The sequence below is a fragment of the Homo sapiens genome, chromosome 11, assembly GCF_000001405.40.
Source record: "Homo sapiens chromosome 11, GRCh38.p14 Primary Assembly".
NCBI lineage: Eukaryota > Metazoa > Chordata > Mammalia > Primates > Hominidae > Homo > Homo sapiens.
In genome coordinates, this window is record NC_000011.10 from 85,866,512 (window position 1) to 85,885,106 (window position 18,595).

Genomic DNA, 18,595 nt, shown 5'->3' on the forward strand with positions numbered 1-18,595 from the left:
ATCTTTACAAAATAAAAATTAGTCCCTGCTATTTAGGAGGTGGAGACGGGAGGATTGCCTGAGCCCAGGGAGGTCAAGGTTACAGTGAGCCATGATTGTGTCACTGCACTCCAGCCTTGGTGACAGAGAGGGACCCTGTCTCAAAAAAACAAAACAAAAAAAAAAAACAGAAAAAAACATGGCTATAATAAAGGTACTATAAAAGAAAACTGTAGGGTGCTGTTTAACAGTGTAACTAAAGGACTTTAGTCAGAGGAGTTAGGAAAAACTTGTTTGAGAAAGCTTTGAGCTGATTTCTGGAAAAGGAACAGGCATTATGGAAACTCAGAGCAGTGAAGAGCATGACTTATGGAAGACAGGAGGGTAGGAAAGAGCTTATCACAGGCCAGAAACTGAGAAAAGGGAGGGTGAGGGAGGCAGGGCAAGAGCAGATGCTGGTGATTTAGGCAAGGGTCAGATCAAGAAGAACACTTGGGTTTTTATTAGAGGAGTATAAAGTTGAAGATGGAGAGCCCATGATGCTAGTGACTAGGTCTTTGTTTAAGAGAGTTGTTGTTGTTTAAAGACAGAGTCTCACTCTGTCACCCAGGCTGGAGTGTAGTAGCCTGATTATAGCTCATTGCAGTATCAAACTCCTGGGCTCAAGTGTTCCTCCTGCCTCAGATTTCTGAGTAGCTGGGAAGACAGGCATACACCACCAGGCCCAGCTAATTTTTTAATTTTGGGTAGAGCTGGGTCTTAAACTCCTGGCCTCAAGCGATCCTCCTGCCTCAGCCTCCCAAAGTGCTGGGATTTCAGGCATGAGCCACCTCACCTGGCCAAGAAGGATTTTAGATTTTAAAATCTAAAAGAAGGATTTATTTTAAAAAATGTACCATAAAAGATGTATGTTGTCCTTAACAACATTCAGGGAAAATCTGTCTCCTTCTTTGGAGATCCCAATATATTCGTATGAACTTTTTAGGATTGAGTGAAGGGATCAGAACACCAAGAGAGAAGAGGCTTTCACCTGTTTCCTTTTATTTTCTACTTGAAATAACATTAACTAATAACTAGATACTATTCATACTCATTTCTCAACATAACTGAAAACTTTGTTCATCTCATCTTAGGAGAGGTGGACAAAAAGCCAAGCTCTGTGAATGTAACCTGGTCTCTAATTTGCTCCCATGGTGTAACTGGTGACATCCAGTTAACAGCTGTTTTTCTCTCTTTTGGGTGGACCAGAAACCAGTCTTTCTCCTCTTTAACAAAGGTTTACAAAAAGGCAAACGTTTAAAAATTCTCATGATCTAGTGCAAGTTATAAACTGAACATCTCATACCCTTGTTCTTTTGTATTTGGTAAAACTAAATAAATAATCTCATGGACTGGAACAGCCAAGGCCTTGCTGTACCATGCTCTACTGATGACAGTTTATGCATTCCATGTGTTCCTCGGTGACAGAACTGTTGTCACATGACACATAGCCAAGACATTTCCTCTCACCATCTGAGGAAGGATTGTCCAGGAGTTCCCTGGCGCCTCTTATATCTCTCTCAGCTCCTAACAAAGCAGTGAGCACATAGTAGATAGTTAATTCATGGTTTTTGAGCAACTGAACTTTTTTCAAATTTATCCCAAGAAAAGAAAGTCATGAACTTCTATGGTTGTTTGTGAAGAGCTGATACTACCAATGTTCAGTCTATAAAATTATCGTCTCTGAATAATGATGGTTTTTATTTTCTCCTTTATACTTGTCTTGCCCCCCGTTTTCTACAATAAGTATGGATATAGATATAGAAACGGGTGAGAATATGGTCGTGAGTGAAAAAATGGAGATTATGATATAGATTTTTTTGAAAGTCAAGTTTATTTGGATCAGTGATTTGTTTGTTTTTGAGACAAGAGTCTCACTCTGTCACCCAGGCTGGAGTGCAGTGGCATGATCTCGGCTCACTACAACCCCCGCCTCCTGGATTCAAGCAATTCTCCCACCTCAGCCTCCCCAGTAGCTGGAATTACAGGCATGTGCCACCACACCCAGCTAATTTTTTGTGTTTTTAGTAGAGATGGGGTTTTGCCATGTTGGCCAGGCTGGTCTTGAACTCCTGATCTTGGCCTCCTGCCTTGGCCTCCCAAAGTGCTGGGAGCCTCCCAAAGTGCTGGGATTACAGGTGTTAGCCATGTTTGTTTATTTTTATAGAGACAGGGTCTCCCTATGTTGACCAGGCTGGTCTCAAACTCCTGGGCTCAAGGGATCAGCCCACCTCAACCTCCTGAAATGTTAGGATTACAGGCGTGAGCCACTGCGCCCAGCCCAGATTTGTGTTTTTATATGAATAAGGCAGTTAGAATATTTGAGGTGAAGGAAAAAATATGGCAGGTCATGTGTGCTTCATTCTCCCTCAACAAACTGTGAGCTCCTTGAAGACTATTCTTTACTCATCTCTGTACCTCTAGTATCTAGCACAGCCTTATAGTATGAGCTCAGAGTTTCTTTGTTGAGTAAATGTTGTCGGATCTTGTCTGAAAGCAAAATCACACTCATGAAAACAAATACAATGTTATTTTTGCCTGTTGATACAGGAAACAAATTTTTTAACGTACTAACACTCAGTGATGAAATGCCCACCAATAAACAAGCTCTTTCTTACCCACTGGTGAGTATAAATTGTTCAAATATTCTGAAAACATTTGTAACAAAGCAATCCTGCCCTTTTATCAGGTAATTTCATGGATATAGGAACTCTTTCCCGGAACATAAGGTCATGAACTTCTATGGTTGTTTGTGAAGAACTGATACTAAATCTATAAACCAATACTAAATCTATAAAGTGATCATCTCTAAGTAACGGTAGTTTTTATTTTCTCCTTTATACTTGTTGTCTCCCAGTTTTCTACAATGAATATGGATAGAGATATAAAAACATGTGGGTATGGTTATAGGTTTAAAGAAAAAAACACAAAAATATAGTTTTTTTGGAATTCAAATTTATTTGTTTTCCTTCCCAGAATTTTCAATGAAATTGCATGGGTGGGGGGAACATTGACACATTACTAACATTTTAACAATATAGAGAGTGGGGGAAAGGTGACATATTGTCTTACTAACAATTTAATATCACTGTGCTTTAGAATAGTGCCATAACCTTTTCAAACTGCTTTAATGTATATTGCTTTATTATCACCCCACTTGCTTCAGCACCTAGTGTGACATGTCAGATTCTAGGGCACTGAGTAGATGGGGGAGATATTAAAAAGGAAAAAAGTGTATAAGGAACAATGATGCTTGAAGTCCCCATAATAGTGTTGAGTTCTGAAGTTAAGCTTCATCTGCTTCCTGGTAAAACACACCTTTTCATGAAGCCAGAGAAGGCTGAAGTGGCTTTCAAAGACAGGCTCAGCTAAATTAGACCCACAGCTACCATAAGCTCCACAAGCGGGCCAGTGAAGCTGCCAAAGCATTTAGGGCATCTCAGAATTCCCCACTGAGGCCTGCTGCTGCCACTCACATCATCCTGAACTGCTCACTCCACAAATGGACAAGAGACAAAGCCTGAGGCCATTTGCTCCTAAATGCTCTGAGGGAGGGGTGGTGGGCTTAAGTGTGGGGATGCCAGTTGTAGCAAATAGAAATAAACGATGCCCAATTAAATATGAGTTTCAGATAAACAGCAAATAATTTGCTTAGTATAAATATGACCCATGCAATGGGGCTGGGGCTGCACATGGTCTCCAGCCCAATCGTTGCATGCTCAGTCATCACCAAGGAAAGCTCTCAGCTGCAGCCAGGGAATTGGTCTATTAACGAGCCCATCTGTAGACTCAGTTTAACCAATGAAGACCACATCTTGAGATTCATTTGCCTGCTCTACCCATGTAAAGAAGTAGTATTAATAGATTTATAACTGCAGAAATTATGTCAGTAATTTGCACATTTGCATAGGTTCTTTTCAGATAATTTTCATTTATAATACTTTTTTTTTAATCTCCTGAAAAACGGGAGGTAGAAAAGGCACTCCTTCAAAATTTTTGCACAAATGTAAGCTTTAGGTAAGAAGTCAAAGATGAGCCAAGTGTCGTGGTGCACATCTGTAACCCCAGCTACTTGGGAGGCTGAGGCTGGAGGATTCCTTGAGCCCAGGAGTTCAAGCCCAGCCTGGGCAGCACAGAGCCTTATTTTCTTATTATTTTGTGGAGGCTGCCCTATCTACTATAGTAGTCCCCTCCATTTATGGTCCTTCTTATATCCTGTTATTTTCCCCATGGTATTTATCATAATGTGTAAACAATATGTTTCAATATGTTTATGTGTTTACTTCTTATTATCCAGTAAAAGGTACTCCTTGAAGGCAAGGATCATGAAGGTGTTGTTCAAAATTATCTCTGTAGGCCAGGCGCAGTGGCTCATGCCTATAATCCTAGCACTTCGGGAGGCTGAGGCAGGTGGATCACTTGAGACCAGGATTTCAAGACCAGCCTGGCCAACATGGTGAAACCTCGTCTCTGCAAAAAATTCAAAAATTAGCTGGGTGTGGTGGCGTGTGCCTGTAATCCCAGTTACTGGGGAGGCTGAGGTGGGACAAGCGCTTGAACCTGGGAGGGGGAGTTTGCAGTGAGCCGAGATCATGCTGCTGCACTCCAGCCTAGGTGACAGAGCAAGACTCTATTTCAAAAAAACAAACAAACAAACAAACAATCTCTATAATGCCTAAAACAATGCTGGGCACCTTTCAGCTCTTTAAATCTACATTGTATGTATGACTGTTTGAAAGGGAATATTGGTCCATTTAAATTGCAGAATTTTGTAACTGAAAAGGAAGCATAGAGTTCATCTCCATCAATCCTCTTATTTCTGGAGGTTAAATATCCTTAGAGAACTGGAAAACCAGCTCTAAAATTCAAGTTTCATAGTATCCAAACGAGCTTTTTTTTGACCAGTAAAGGATTTTTTTTTAATGTTGCATTTTCTCATTATTGGGAAAGAAAGAGCCTAGTTTTTCTCTCTAATGAGTATACAATGTCACAAATATAATTGATGTTTGGGGGAAAGGGCTAAGGATATAAGGTTTAATTCAACTGAAATTTACTAAGCATTTATTTTATGCTAGAAACATTCACATATGATTTCTTATTTTAATCCTTACGATAATATGCAGAGCTAGGTATTTTTATCCCATTTGACTGCTTGGACATTTAGGCCCAGGGAATTGACTTGCCTGAGATCATGTAGACAAGAAGTGATAAGGGCAAGACTTAAAACCAGAGTTTCTCATTCTTTAACTACTCTTCACTCTACTACAGAGGTACTATATTTCTGTTTTTGTTTTATTTTGTTTTTAATTGAGCCAAAGGGTTTAGGTAACACACTTCTGTTGCCTTATTTTGGTCTCAGATTTAAAGTTATAAGATTTATTAGGTTATAGTGATACAAGATATACTATAAAGTTTTAAAAATTATTTTATTTATTTACTTTAAGACTGCATCTCACTCTGTCACCCAGGCTGGAGTGCAGTGGCATGATCTTGGTTTGCTGCAACCTCCGCCTCCTGGGTTCAAGCGATTCTCATGCCTCAGCCTCCCGAGTAGCTAGAACTACAGGCATTCACCTCCACACCTGGCTAATTTTTGTATTTCTAGTAGGGACAGGGTTTTGCCATGTTGGCCAGCCTGGTCTGGAACTCCTGTCCTCAAGAGATCCACCTGCTGGCCGGGCACGGTGGCTCACACCTGTAACCCCAGCACTTTGAGAGCCCGAAGCGGGCAGATCACTTGAGGTCAGGAGTTTGAGACCAGCCTGGCCAACATGGTGAAACTCCGTCTCTACAAAAAATAGAAAAATTAGCCGGGTGTGGGGGCAGGCGCCTATAATCCCAGTTACTCGGGAGGCTGAGGCAGGACAATCGCTTGAACCCAGGAGGCAGAGGTTGCAGTCAGCCGAGAACATGCAACTGCACTCCAGCCTGGGCGACAGAGCGAGATTCCATCTCAAAACAACAACAACAACAACAACAACAAAAACCCAGATCCACCTGCCACGGCCTCCCAGAGTGCTGGGATTACAGGTGTGAGCCACCATGCCTGGCACATGTTTAAAGAGATACACTATACTTAACACCTCAAATAGCTATCAAATAGCCTATAAGAAAGTCTTTCTGCACTTTTCTATCTCTCTTTCATACCTTACAGACACTCAACAAATACTTGTTGAGTGTTAAAGAAATGTATTTGTGCCAGGAAAGAAGTTTTTATTATTTGTAGAAGAGATGGCACACTAATGAACTTGAACCAATAGGCATGCCTAGTTTACCTTAGTATTTCAAGAAGGTGTGCTTGCCCTTATAAAGTCTTAGATTTGTTCGTCGTTTTTGTCTAAATGTTTTTAGAATTCTAGAAAGCATGTTTTCTGTATGCCCACTCCTAGTTTTCCTTTAGGCTAAATTATTTATAAACAATTAGAAAGTATAAAATTATGACTATAAAACATGAACAGGGATTTTTTTTTCAAAAAAAAACAAACAACTTTGAAGTTTTCTCTCCAATATATATTTTAGTGAGTAAAATAGATTCAGAAACACAAAACCGTTTAGGAAAGGTTTTTATCCCTAAATGTGTTTTCATAATACATTTAATAATTCACTTCAAATACCTTTTAAATTTTTTCTCATTTCCTAAGATAAATGATTCTAACACATTTTATCTTTGTTGATTCTCAGATGTCAAATAAAGGAAGATGCCGTGGAGCAATTCATGTTTCAAATAAAGACACTTAGGAAAAAGAACCAAAAATATCATGAAAGAGTGAGTATAAAATTTAGAACCTATATATAGTCATTAAATATTTACACTCATGCTTTAAAAAATTGTGGATTATGGTGAAATATACTCTAGGAAATTATCTTCTTCAAAGCTTGGAATTGATTGATTTACAATCTATTTAAGTTTCTTTATACATGTGAGGCAGAAGGATACTGCTGTTCCCATTATATTAGTTATAATGTCAGTGGAAGTTGGGTTGAATTATGTTATTTAGACCCTGAAGACACTGAATCTTAACTTCAAAATTTTAAAGTTTTGAAACCACATTTATCTTTTGACTTTTTATTTAACCAAACCATAAAACATTGGTTCTCCATTTTAAATCTCTTTGTCTTTTTTCTTTTAGATTTTCAGAGAGTATGCGTATGTAAATACCATTTGAAAAGCACAATCTCAGTTGTTAAAATTAGTAATTGCATATTTAAGATGATATACTGTTTTTATAAAATCAGATTAAAATGAATATCAAAAAGGTGCTATATATGACTATCGGGACTAAAGATCAACAGAAATAAAGTTTGGGAGCAATCAATGATAATTAACACAATTTATCCCTCAAGGTATCTCATGAATGATGAAATACTGAGAGTGCCCCCTTTTAACACATTTATTTTATATGGGCCCTGAAACTTTCACAGCTAACTGTTTTATTTTGGCTTCTGTCTAAAAAGAATATATCTACAAATTTTAGTAGAGCCTGGAGTCAGAGACCTGAGTTTGCATCCTGACTGTACAGCTTACTGCTGATGTCATTTTGGTCAGATTTGGTATGAGCCTCAATTTCACTCTTGTAAAATGGGGATTCCTGTCTCCCCCATAGGGCTAATTTATTTGTTCATTCAGTACATATTTAGTGGATAAGACAAGCCAGTAATATAACTGTGACTCTGACACTATCACGATTCTTAAGGTTCATTCACTTGTAATAGGGACTAAAACAGAAGCTCAGTTTGGCCTGGTGCCTGAATGCAGGCTCCACATGAGATCCAGAGCACTAAAGAGAAGTAAGTCCCATCGATGCACCCATGCACATCCTCCAGTGATCAGCACAGGGACTTGTAGATCAGGACTTGGTTGTGGAAAGTAAAACAAATCAGGATTGAGTAATCATTTTCCCCTTAGCCCATCATTTGGAGCCAGAAATAGTTAAAGTTCTTGTTTCCATGAAGATTGGCTCAAGAATGCACATTAGTGGACCCAGCAGTGAGGAGCAAGGAAAGACAGATTCTAACTACAACTCTGTATCTGAATATCATCCATTTCTTTCCTTTTATGTTGTTATTGCTGTAATTTAAACCACCATCTCTTACTCATCCTTCCCTCAAAGTACATTTTCCACAGTGCAACCAAATTACCTTTTGAATATTGTAAACCAGGTCCATTCTTTCATTCCTACTATTCTACCACGACTGCTCTAGCAAAAGTTATTAATGACTAATTTGCCAGGTCTAATAGACTCTTCTTAGTCCTTAAACTTTACCTCTCATCTCTTAACATCCTTCAGTGGCTTCCTATTGCACAGAAAATAAAATCTATCGTCTTTACTAAAGTCTTCAGCGCCCTTCAAAATCTGACCCCTGTTCACCTCTCAAACCTTGTCTCCAGCTGCTGATGGAGGATTTTTTGCTCCTTAGCTCAGCTAGGTCTGGGTTCTTGACTCACAACCAGGAAGAGGTAGGCATGCAGACATGCGAAGAGTGAGCAAGGCGGGAAGTTTTATTGAGTGATGAAACAGCTTTTAGCAGGGAGGGGATGCAGGGGTGGTCCCCCTACCCAAAGGCAGGAAAGTTCCCAATATGGCTGAGCCCAGGGATTTTTATGGGTTCAGAGTAGAGACTGTGTGCTGATTGGTTTCTGAGCATGCAAAAAATGTTAGGGTGGGCACAATAGTGTAGAAAACCAATTAGGAAAGGGTAGGTATATGTAAAATAGGTGAAGGATGAGGACCAATCAGAGGAAAGCTCGCCAAACAGGAAGGCGGGTTATCAATATGGTTGGAGGATTTACCCAGGACTGTTTCCAGCTTGAAGGTTGGATTTCACTGGGGACCGGCCCCATCTGCCTAGGCATTTGTCTGCCTCCTGCCTCTATCACTGCTCCACCTTTTGCTTACCATCTCTTCTTTGAAATCTTGAAAAACCAATCTATTTATTTATGCCTTTACTCATGCTGTTTCCTCTTCCTGGAATGCTTTTTTCTTGGTTAGCTCCTTTTCATTCCCCCAACCTAAGTTGGAATATTGTGTAAAATTATATCTCCATTATTAAACAGCAAGCTTTTTAGACAGCAGCAATCCAGTCTTACTTCTTTGTTTCTCCAGAAGAGTCCAGCTTAAGTAGGTGTTCAATAAATATTTGTTGAGTTGATTCATGCTAACACTAGTGGAAGAAAAAATGTTTTGAGGTCATAGATATTTAACATGACTCATGTTTTCTCTTCAGTTATTTCAAAATCAGAAATGCCCCTCTTCTTTCCTACACATCATCTCTTCCTATGTATATTTAGTTCTGTTTGGATTATCACCCCATTTATTATCTTTCTCTCAGTTTGCATTCATTGCTCCACCTACCTCATTAGATGTTCCGTAGTTCACTCTGTCTACTTCCCTACTCTCCATTCATTCTTTCATTCCTACTATTCCACCACAACTGCTCTAGCAAAAGTTATTAATGACCAATTTGCCAGGTCCAATAGACTCTTTTTAGTCCTTTCTTTACCTCTCACCTCTCCAGCAGCCACTTCCTTTATCTTAAAACCCTTTTCTCCTTTGGGTTCCAGGACCTCACTGCAACTTAACTACTTCACTGACCATTTCTTCTCATTTTTCATTCACTGCTCTTTGCCTAGACCCATCCCTTAATTATCACATTTAGCAGAGTTCTGATCTCAACCCTTTTCTCTCACTCCTTTTTGGGGTCATCTCACTTAACACTATGGCTTCAAATAACCATCTATTTGTTAATAATTTTCATATCTATATTTGATAAATTTCATAATATTGTACACCAAAAAAAATGAGTGTATGTACAAACGGAAATGAATAAAGTCTCTAGCTTAGTTAATAACATTGTACTAATGTCACTTTCCTGGATTTGATAATGTACTATGGTTATGTGGAATCTTATCACTGGGGAAAGTAAGGTGAATAGTAGATTGGAACTCTCTGCTCTGTTTTGGCAACTTCCTTTCTTGTTTTTTCATTTGTTTGTTTGAGACAGTCTCACTCCGTCACCCAGGCTGGAGTGCAGTGGCGCGATCTCTGCTCATTACAATCTCCACCTCCCAGTTTCGAGGGATTCTCGTGCCTCAGCCACCCAAATAGCTGGGATTACAGGCATGCGCCACCACACCCAACTAATTTGTGTACTTTTTGTAGAGACAGGGTTTCACCGTGTTGGCCAGGCTGGTCTCAAACTCTTGACCTCAAGTGATCCATTTGCCTCAGCTTCCCAAAATGTTGGGATTACAGGGGTGAGCCACCACACCCAGCCTCTTTTCTTGTTCTTATGAGTCTTAAAAAGTTAAAAGGGTAAGCATGACATGACTTTATATGAAAACAAAATCAATCTTTTTTTTGTAGCTTATTTACTGAATATCCTTTTTCCATTTTTATAATGTGATAATTATTCTTACCTTAAATAGTAATTATTTACCTCACTTTGTAGGATAAACATATTTTTAGCACATTAGTGATACAGCTAACTAAATTTCGTTTCTGTATATTACTCAAAATAATTTTTGAGACATTGAATTCTGTCAAATGCTATCAGACACATTCTCCTTCCATTCAAAATTCATATGGGGTTTGGGAAATTAATATAGATGATATTAAATTTATATATAATGTCAAATAGTGTTTAATAATGCTTATGCAGGCCAGGCACAGTGGCTCATGCCTGTAATCCCAACACTTTGGGAGGCCAAGGCAGGAGGATCGCTTGAGGCCAGGTGTTTTGAGACCAGCCTGGGCAACATAGTGAGAGCCTGTCTCTACAAAAAATTGTAGAAAGTAGCCAGGTGCAGTGGTGTGCACCTGTAGTCCCACCTACTCAGGGGGCTGAGGCAGGAAGATGCTTGAGCCCAGGAGTTTGAGGTTACAGTGAGCTATGACCATGCCACTGTACTCCAGCTTGGGCAACAGACTAAGATCCTGTCTCTAAAATGGTAAAAATTAAACAATTTTTTTTAAATTTTGTAAATGAAAAATATCACATGCTTGAAAAGAATAGTCATTGTGTTAAATATTTGATCTAGGAGATCTGGATTTATTTTAAGAAGTATTGTGTCAAGTATGGAAATAAAACTAAAATTTCTTTGTATATTATATACATTTCTTTGTCACTTGTATGTAGTGGTTTTAAAATTACCACTCTTTGGAATTTTTTGCCTGTATATCATGGTAAATATTTTTGAGCTGGGATTGAATTTAGAGGCCACTGTTGTCTTACTAAAATTAACTAACATAAGTAAAATCAGATATCTTTACTTAGGATTCAAAACATAGTTGATAAAGGAATTTTCCACTTCTACAAAAATAAGTGGAAAAGTCCATATTAAGAAAAAGTAGTAGCAGAGCAATAGTTTGGCAAGTGATATTTCCATTGCTATTATTCAAGTTTCTATAAATATTTCATTTTAAAATAACATGTCAAACTAAAATAATTCAATTTATTTATAAGCAAACAAAACATGAATCTATTTCATTTCAGAAAATAAAATATCTGAGAATTGGTTAAAGAGTAGTAAATTATTTATTTTTCAGTTGTTAATATTCATTGGCCTTCATTTTTTAGTTAAACTTCATTTTGAAATAAGTATAGATTAACTTATAGTTATAAAAATGATATAAAAATGATAGAAAGTTCCTATGTACCTACTACCTAGCTTCTCATAACATACTACAAAATCACAGTACAATATTATAACTAGGATATTGACAAGTTTAACATGGAAAGTCAAGATACAGAAGATTTCCATCACCACAAGTATCCCTCATGTGACCTTTAAAGCCACTCACTCCCCTCCCAGTTCTGCCCCCTCATTAGACCCTGGCAACCATTATTCTGTTCTCCATTATTATAACGTCACTTCAGGAATGTTATACAAATGGAATCATACAATAAGTAACCTTTTGGTACTTGGCTTTTTAAAATTCAGCATAACTCTCTGGAGGTACATCCAGGTTGTTGTGTGTGTTATCAGTTAGTTTCTTTGTATTGCTGACTAGCAGCATGGTGGGGATGTACCAGTTTGTTTAACCATTCACCTGGAGGACATCTGGGTTGTTTCCAGTTATTGGACATTTTACATAAAGCTAATATAAACATTCATGGACAGGTATTTTTAAGAACAAAAGTTTTCATTTCTTTGGAATAAATGCCCAGGAGTTCAATTGCTGGGTAGTATGATAGTTACACGTTAGTTTTTAAAGAAACTTGAACTACTTTCCAAACTGGCTGTACCTTTTACATTCCCACCATCATATAAGAGGGATCCAGTTTCTCCTCATCCTCTTCAGAATTTAGTGATGCCGCTATGCACTATTTTATGTTAGCCTTCTGGTAGGTGTGTAGTAATATCTTAGTGTGGTTTTAATTTGCATTTCCCTAGTGGCTAATGATGTTGAATATCTTTTCATGTGCCTGTCTTTTGCTAATTTTATAATTAGACTTTTTGTACTCTTGAGTTTTACGTATATATATAATCTTCTAAAACTAGTCCTTTCTTGGATATGTTATTTGCAAATATTTTCTCCTAGTCTGTAGTTTGTCTTTCATCCTCACAAAAAGGTCTGTAACAGAGTAAAAGTTTTTAATTTTAATGAAGTCCAGTTTATCAATTTTTCCTTTATGGATTATGCTTTCAGTGTCAAGTTTTCAAACTCTTTGCCTAGCCCTAAATCTCAAAGATTTTCTCCTATGTTTTATTCTAAAATTTTTGTAGTTTCACCTTTTACATTTAAATCATGGTCCATTTTGAGTTAGTTTGTGTATAAGGTGTGAGGCTTAGATCAAGATTCTTCTTTTTTTTTTCTACCTGCAGATGTCCAGTTGCGTCTGCACTATTAGTTGATAAAGCTCTCTTTCCTGCATTGAATTGCTCTCATACCTTTGTCAAAAATCAGTTCGACATTGAATAGGCATTTCTCCAAAGAAGATATACAAATGGCTAACAAGCACATGAAAAGATGCTCAACATAGTTATTAGAGAAATGCAAATAAAAACCACAATGAGGTACCACTTTCTCCTAATAACTGAGCCTCAAAATACATAAAGTAAAATTTGATAAGGATAAGTTTGAGGATTAACAATTTTTTTTTTTTTGAGATAGAATTTTGCTTTGTTGCCCAAGCTGGAGTGCAGTGGCATGATCTCAGCTCACTGCAACCTCTACCTCCTGGGTTCAAACGATTCTGCTGCCTCAGCCTCCTCAGTAGCTGGGATTACAAGCAGCTGCCACCATGCCCGGCTAATTTTGTATTTTTAATAGAGATGTGGTTTCACCATATTGTCCAGGCTGGTCTTGAACTGACCTCAGGTGATCCGCTCGCCTCAGCCTCCCAAAGTGTTGGAATTACAGGCGTGAGCCACCGCGCCCTGCCTTGTGTGCGTCTGTTTCTGAGTTCTCTACTCTCTTCAGTTGATCTCTATGCCTACCCCTCTGTCTATACCACATAGTCTTGACTACTATAGCTATATAATACGTCTTGAAATAAGGTAAATTAATTCCTCTTACTTTATTCTTGTTTTTCAAAATCATTTTAGCTATACTGTTTCCTTTGTCTTCCCATATAAATTTTAGAATTATCTTGTATATATTTGCCCCCTGACCCAAAGAAAACTTACTAAGCTTTACATAGGGATTATATTAAAGCTGTATATCAAAATTGGGATATCTTTACTATGCTGTCTTCCAATCCATGAACATGATATGTTTCTCCATTTATTTAGATCTTGTTTTATTTTTATTTATTTAATTAATTTATTTATTGAGACAGGATCTCCTTCAGTCAACCAGCCTTGAGTGCAGTGGCACAATTACGGCTCACTGCAGCCTCAACCTTCTGGGCTCCCACCTCAGCCTTCCAAGTAGCTGGGACTACAGGCATGCACCACCACACCTGGCTAATTTTTAAATTTTCTGTAGAGATGGGGTTTCACCATGTTGCCCAGGCTGGTCTTGAACTCCTAAGCTCAAGCAATTCACCTTCCTTGGCCTCCCAAAGTGCAGGGATTACAGGCAAGAGCCACTGTGCTGGGCCCAGATCTTGATTTTTTTTTTAATCAGCGTTTTCTAGTTTTCACTATGCAAGTCCTATACATGTTTTGTTAGATATTTTCACTGGGTCTAGCATTCTAGATGGACAGTTCTTTATTTTCATCACATAAAAAATAATGTGCCACTTCCTATTACCTTTCTTCTAGCTAGCATGGTTTCTGATGAAAAATATGCTGACATAGTTCGAGTACCCCTTAACTGAAATTCTTGGGACCAGAAGTGTTTCCAATTTCAGATTCTTTTAGATTTTGGAATATCTGCATATACAGAATGATATATCTTGGGGATGGGACTCAAGTCTAAACATGAAATTCATTTATGTTGCATATACACCTTATACACATAGCCTGAAGTTAACTTTATTTTCCCCTTGGGGATGCTGAATAAACTGTGTTTGGTGTGCCTGCATTTTGACTGCAACCTGTCACATGACATCAGGTGTGTCATTTTCCATTTGTGGCATCATGTTAGTACTCAAGAAGTTTCAGATTTTAGGCTGGGCACAGTGGCTTATGCCTGTAGTCCCAGCACTTTGGGAGGCCGCGGCAGATGGATCACCTGAGGTCAAGAGTTCGAGACCAGCCTGGCCAACATGGTGAAATCCCGTCTCTACTAAAAATACAAAAAAAAATTAGCCAGGTATGGTGGTGGGCGTCTATAATCCCAGCTACTTGGGAGGCTGAGGCAGGAGAATCGCTTGAACCAGGGAAGTGGAGGTTGCAGTGAGCCAAGATCCCACCACTGCACGCCAGCCTTGGTGACAGAGCAAGACTCCATCCCCCCCCAAAAAAAAAAAGTTTCAGATTTTAAAGCATTTCAGATTTTGAATTTTCTTATTTTTATTTTTTGAAACTGGGTCTTTCTCTGTCACCCAAGCTGGAGTGCAATGGTGCGATCATAGCTCACTGTAACCTCAAACTCCTGGGCTAAAGTGATCCTCCCTCCTCAGCCTCCTGAATAGCTGAGACTACAAGCACCACCATGCCTGACTAAATTTTAAATTTTTTGTAGAGACAGGGTATCACTATGTTGTCCAGGCTAGTCTTGAACTCCTGGCCTCAAGTAATCCCCCCAGCTCTGCCTCCCAAAGCACTGGAATTACAGGCATGAGCCACCACACGCTGCCCAGATTTTGGATATTCTAATTAGGTATGCCCTGTATGCTAATTGTTTTTCTCCTATAGGTAAGGTGTGGTTTTTCTCTGACTGCTTTTAAGACTTTTCCCTTGTATTTAGTTTTCAGAAGTTTGATTATGATGTGTCTTAACATGGATTTCTTTCTGCTTATCTTGTTTGGGGTATGCTTAGCTTCTTGAATTCATAGGTTTATGTCTCTTGGAAATTTGGGAAGTTTCCAGCCATTATTTATTTGAGTACTTTTTCAGTCCTGCCCTCTTTCTCTCCCTCTAATACTCCAGTAACATGAATCTTTTGTTATAGGCCAGGCTTGCTGGCTCACACCTGTAATCCCAGCACTTTGAGAGGTCAAGGGAGTTTCAGACCAGCATAGCAACATAGCAAGACCTCATCTCTAAAAAAACAAAAATAATAATAATAATAATAATTCTAAAATGTCAGCCACCTTAGTATTGGCATCTACATATTGTCATTTTTCATTTAGTTTACAATCTTCCTGGTTCTTGGTATGATGAGTGATTTATTGAAACCTGGACATTTTTTTAATAATGTCATAAGACTCTAGATCTTATTTGTAATCTTCTGTTTTACCTAGCTTTTACTGGCATTGCTCTGCCAGGGGAAGTAGGGATACCACCTCATAATGTCTGATGGAAGTAGAAGTCCAGGCTTCCCACTTGCCTTCCTGTGATACCCAAAGGCCGGGAACTTCTTGACTCTATTTTGAGGAAACATAGTGTACATAGTTGATCAAACGTGAATTACTGTTGATTTTCATGACAGAATAGCCGCTTAAAAGAAGAACAGATTTGGCACATACGGCATCTACTAAAGGAACTGAGTGAAGAGAAGGCAGAGGGATTGCCAGTTGTAACAAGAGAGGATGTTGAAGAAGCGATGAAGGAAAAATGGAAGTTTGAAAGAGACCAGGAAAAAAACTTGAGAGGTGATTTAGGAACATAGAAAACTATCATAGAGTTGTGCCAAGTTATTTCTTGAATATATTAATGCTTTATTCTTCCAATATGTTCAAAATGCTGTTAAGTGTATTTTAAACGGCATCATTACCACCGCAGCCACAAACACATGTAGGTAAATGGGCAGGAGAGGGAAATAATAAAGTGGGTAGAGGTAATGAAGCCAAGCAAGGAGGTGGAAGAAGGGTAGTGATCAGAAACAGATGAAATTTATCTGACTGTTTTTTTTGGGATAGGGTGTAGTTCAGTCACCCAGGCTGGAGTGCAGTGGTGCGATCTCAGCTTACTGCAATCTTAACCTCCTGGGCTCATGCAGTCCTCCCACCTCAGCCTCCCAAGTAGCTGGGACTCCAGGTGCACACCACTATGCCTGAGAATTTTGTTCCTTTTTTGTAGAGATGAGGTCTTGCTATGTTGCCCAGGCTGGTCTCGAACTCCTGGGCTCAAGGGATAGTCCCACCTCAGTCTCCCAAAGTTCTGGGATTACAGGCGTGAGCCACCATGCCCAGCCTCATCTGACTCTTACAACAGGACAGTATCTTGTTAAACACCATTACTCATAGTAGGGTTTTGTTCTTTTTCTTTTTTTTCTTTTTTTTTTTAATTCTGTTGTTTGGTGGTTTCATTGACTTCAGCTTCAGCTTAGATTTGGGAATGATAAGGCAAATAAAACCATGAAAAATGTTTCTCCCAATATCTCTAAGGGAGCCAAGCACCCCATTAGATGGAGGAAATAGGGATTAGCGTTGGGAAAGGGGAAGTTTGGAGAACATGGGTAGTAATGACACTAGGTGCAGGCAATGAAAGACCCAGGGCATACTCTTGCTGTAGGCTTAGGAAATACCATGGTACTGAGGGTAAATCATGCAGTTCTGACATACACATTTTGAAATTCCTATTCTTTCATTCTAAACTTGCTGCTAAGATTTCTAGGACCACTTTTGCCAAAACCTCCATAAATAACATCCCTGCTAGGAAGCTGGAAAACATGAGAAAGAGACCTAAGTGCTATCATTTGTTAGCCCTTAGGAAATCCACGTATTTCTGGATTTCTCCAAGTGCCTACTTAGCTGAGCACTTTGCACACAGCAGGCTCTCCACTCAATAGATATTTGCTGTTTTGAGTGAAATCGTTTCCAAGACCAAACATCAATAGGCAAGTTTCATTTTTAGGGGAGTCCAAAACTGTTCCCATAGACCTCCTCCTACCCAAGTCTCTTCATTGGCAATAGGGATGTCATGACATGGTAGATAGTATATTTTGCATGACTTCTTTCCAAAAGAGTTCTGCTTATATTTGGAAGGAATACTTTAGTAAGTCCCTTGAGATGGAGTGAGACCCCAAAGGATGCTCAGCTGTGCTCGCTAAACTGCCTTCTAAAGGAATGGGCCCAGTTAGTTGAGATGCGCCTGTTGATGGTTTGGGCTGAGCATGGGGATGTGTCATACAAGACTGGGCCACACGGCATGACTGAGCACAATAGAGGAGGACTGGACATGCATGGGAAGAAAGGAAGCTCACAGACATGGAGGAAGAGAGGGAAAGTAAGAGAACAGAAGTGTCTGGAAAACATTTCCGAGGTAGTCACTTTATGTCCCAGGTAGTCCCTTGCAACTCATTTTGGTGTGGAGCAGCAGCAAGTGCTTCACCTATCAGCTTGTTACAATGCCAATTCCCAGGCCCCACCCAGACCTACTGAATCAGAATCCGCATTCTGACAAGATCCCAGGGGATTCCTATGCACAGTAAGGTTTGAGAAATACTGCTGCAACCCTTTTCATCCAACTTTTAGTAAGGACTCTTTCAGTTGCAAGGATAAAAAATCCAAGTCAAACTAGCCTAAGCATAAAGGGGATGTTAGTCTTTTCACATCACTTAACACAGAAAGACAGAGTGCTTCTGACCTGGATACAAGGCTTCACATGCTGTCAGATCTCAGCTTAAACAAACAAACAAAAATCTCTGGGGCGTATGTGTTACTAGAAGGGAAGGGAAGAAGTTCTAAGAAAGTAGAAAAACAGCCACTACATCCATCTCCCTTTTACAATCTTCAGTGACATCTACCAACCCTCCCCTCAAAGGCCAAATGGGGCACTGGCCTGAGACAGTAGCAGTCTGCTCGAATGAGAGAACAACTACCCATCTGGCTTATAGTAGTACTGATAATTGTTTAATGAAAATAACCACCATTTGTTAAGAGATTTTAAATATAGTATCTTGTGGCCAGGCATGGTGACTCATACCTGTAATCCTAGCACTTTGGGATGCCAAGGCGGGCAGATTGCCTGAGGTCAGGAGTTCGAGACCAGCCTGGCCAACATAGTGAATGAAACCCTGTCTCTACTAAAAATACAAAATTAGCCGGACGTGGTGGTGGGTGCCTGTGATCTCAGCTACTT

At 39.2% G+C, this 18,595-nt stretch overlaps 1 protein-coding gene across 11 annotated transcripts in view; it reads left to right on the plus strand.

Annotated features, from left to right (window-relative positions):
* The window catches only part of CCDC83 (coiled-coil domain containing 83), a 64,948-nt gene that overhangs the window by 11,446 nt on the left and 34,907 nt on the right, over positions 1-18,595 (plus strand). For 10 of the 11 annotated variants that reach the window (XM_011544839.3, NM_173556.5, XM_011544842.2 and 7 more), the window contains exons 3-4: positions 6,700-6,784; positions 16,002-16,164. In XM_011544839.3, the coding sequence (XP_011543141.1) occupies positions 6,700-6,784; positions 16,002-16,164 (248 nt within the window). Of the gene's footprint in view, positions 1-6,699; positions 6,785-12,275; positions 12,364-16,001; positions 16,165-18,595 lie in introns of those variants that run through there. The other variant, XM_011544844.3, reaches the window with a different exon arrangement.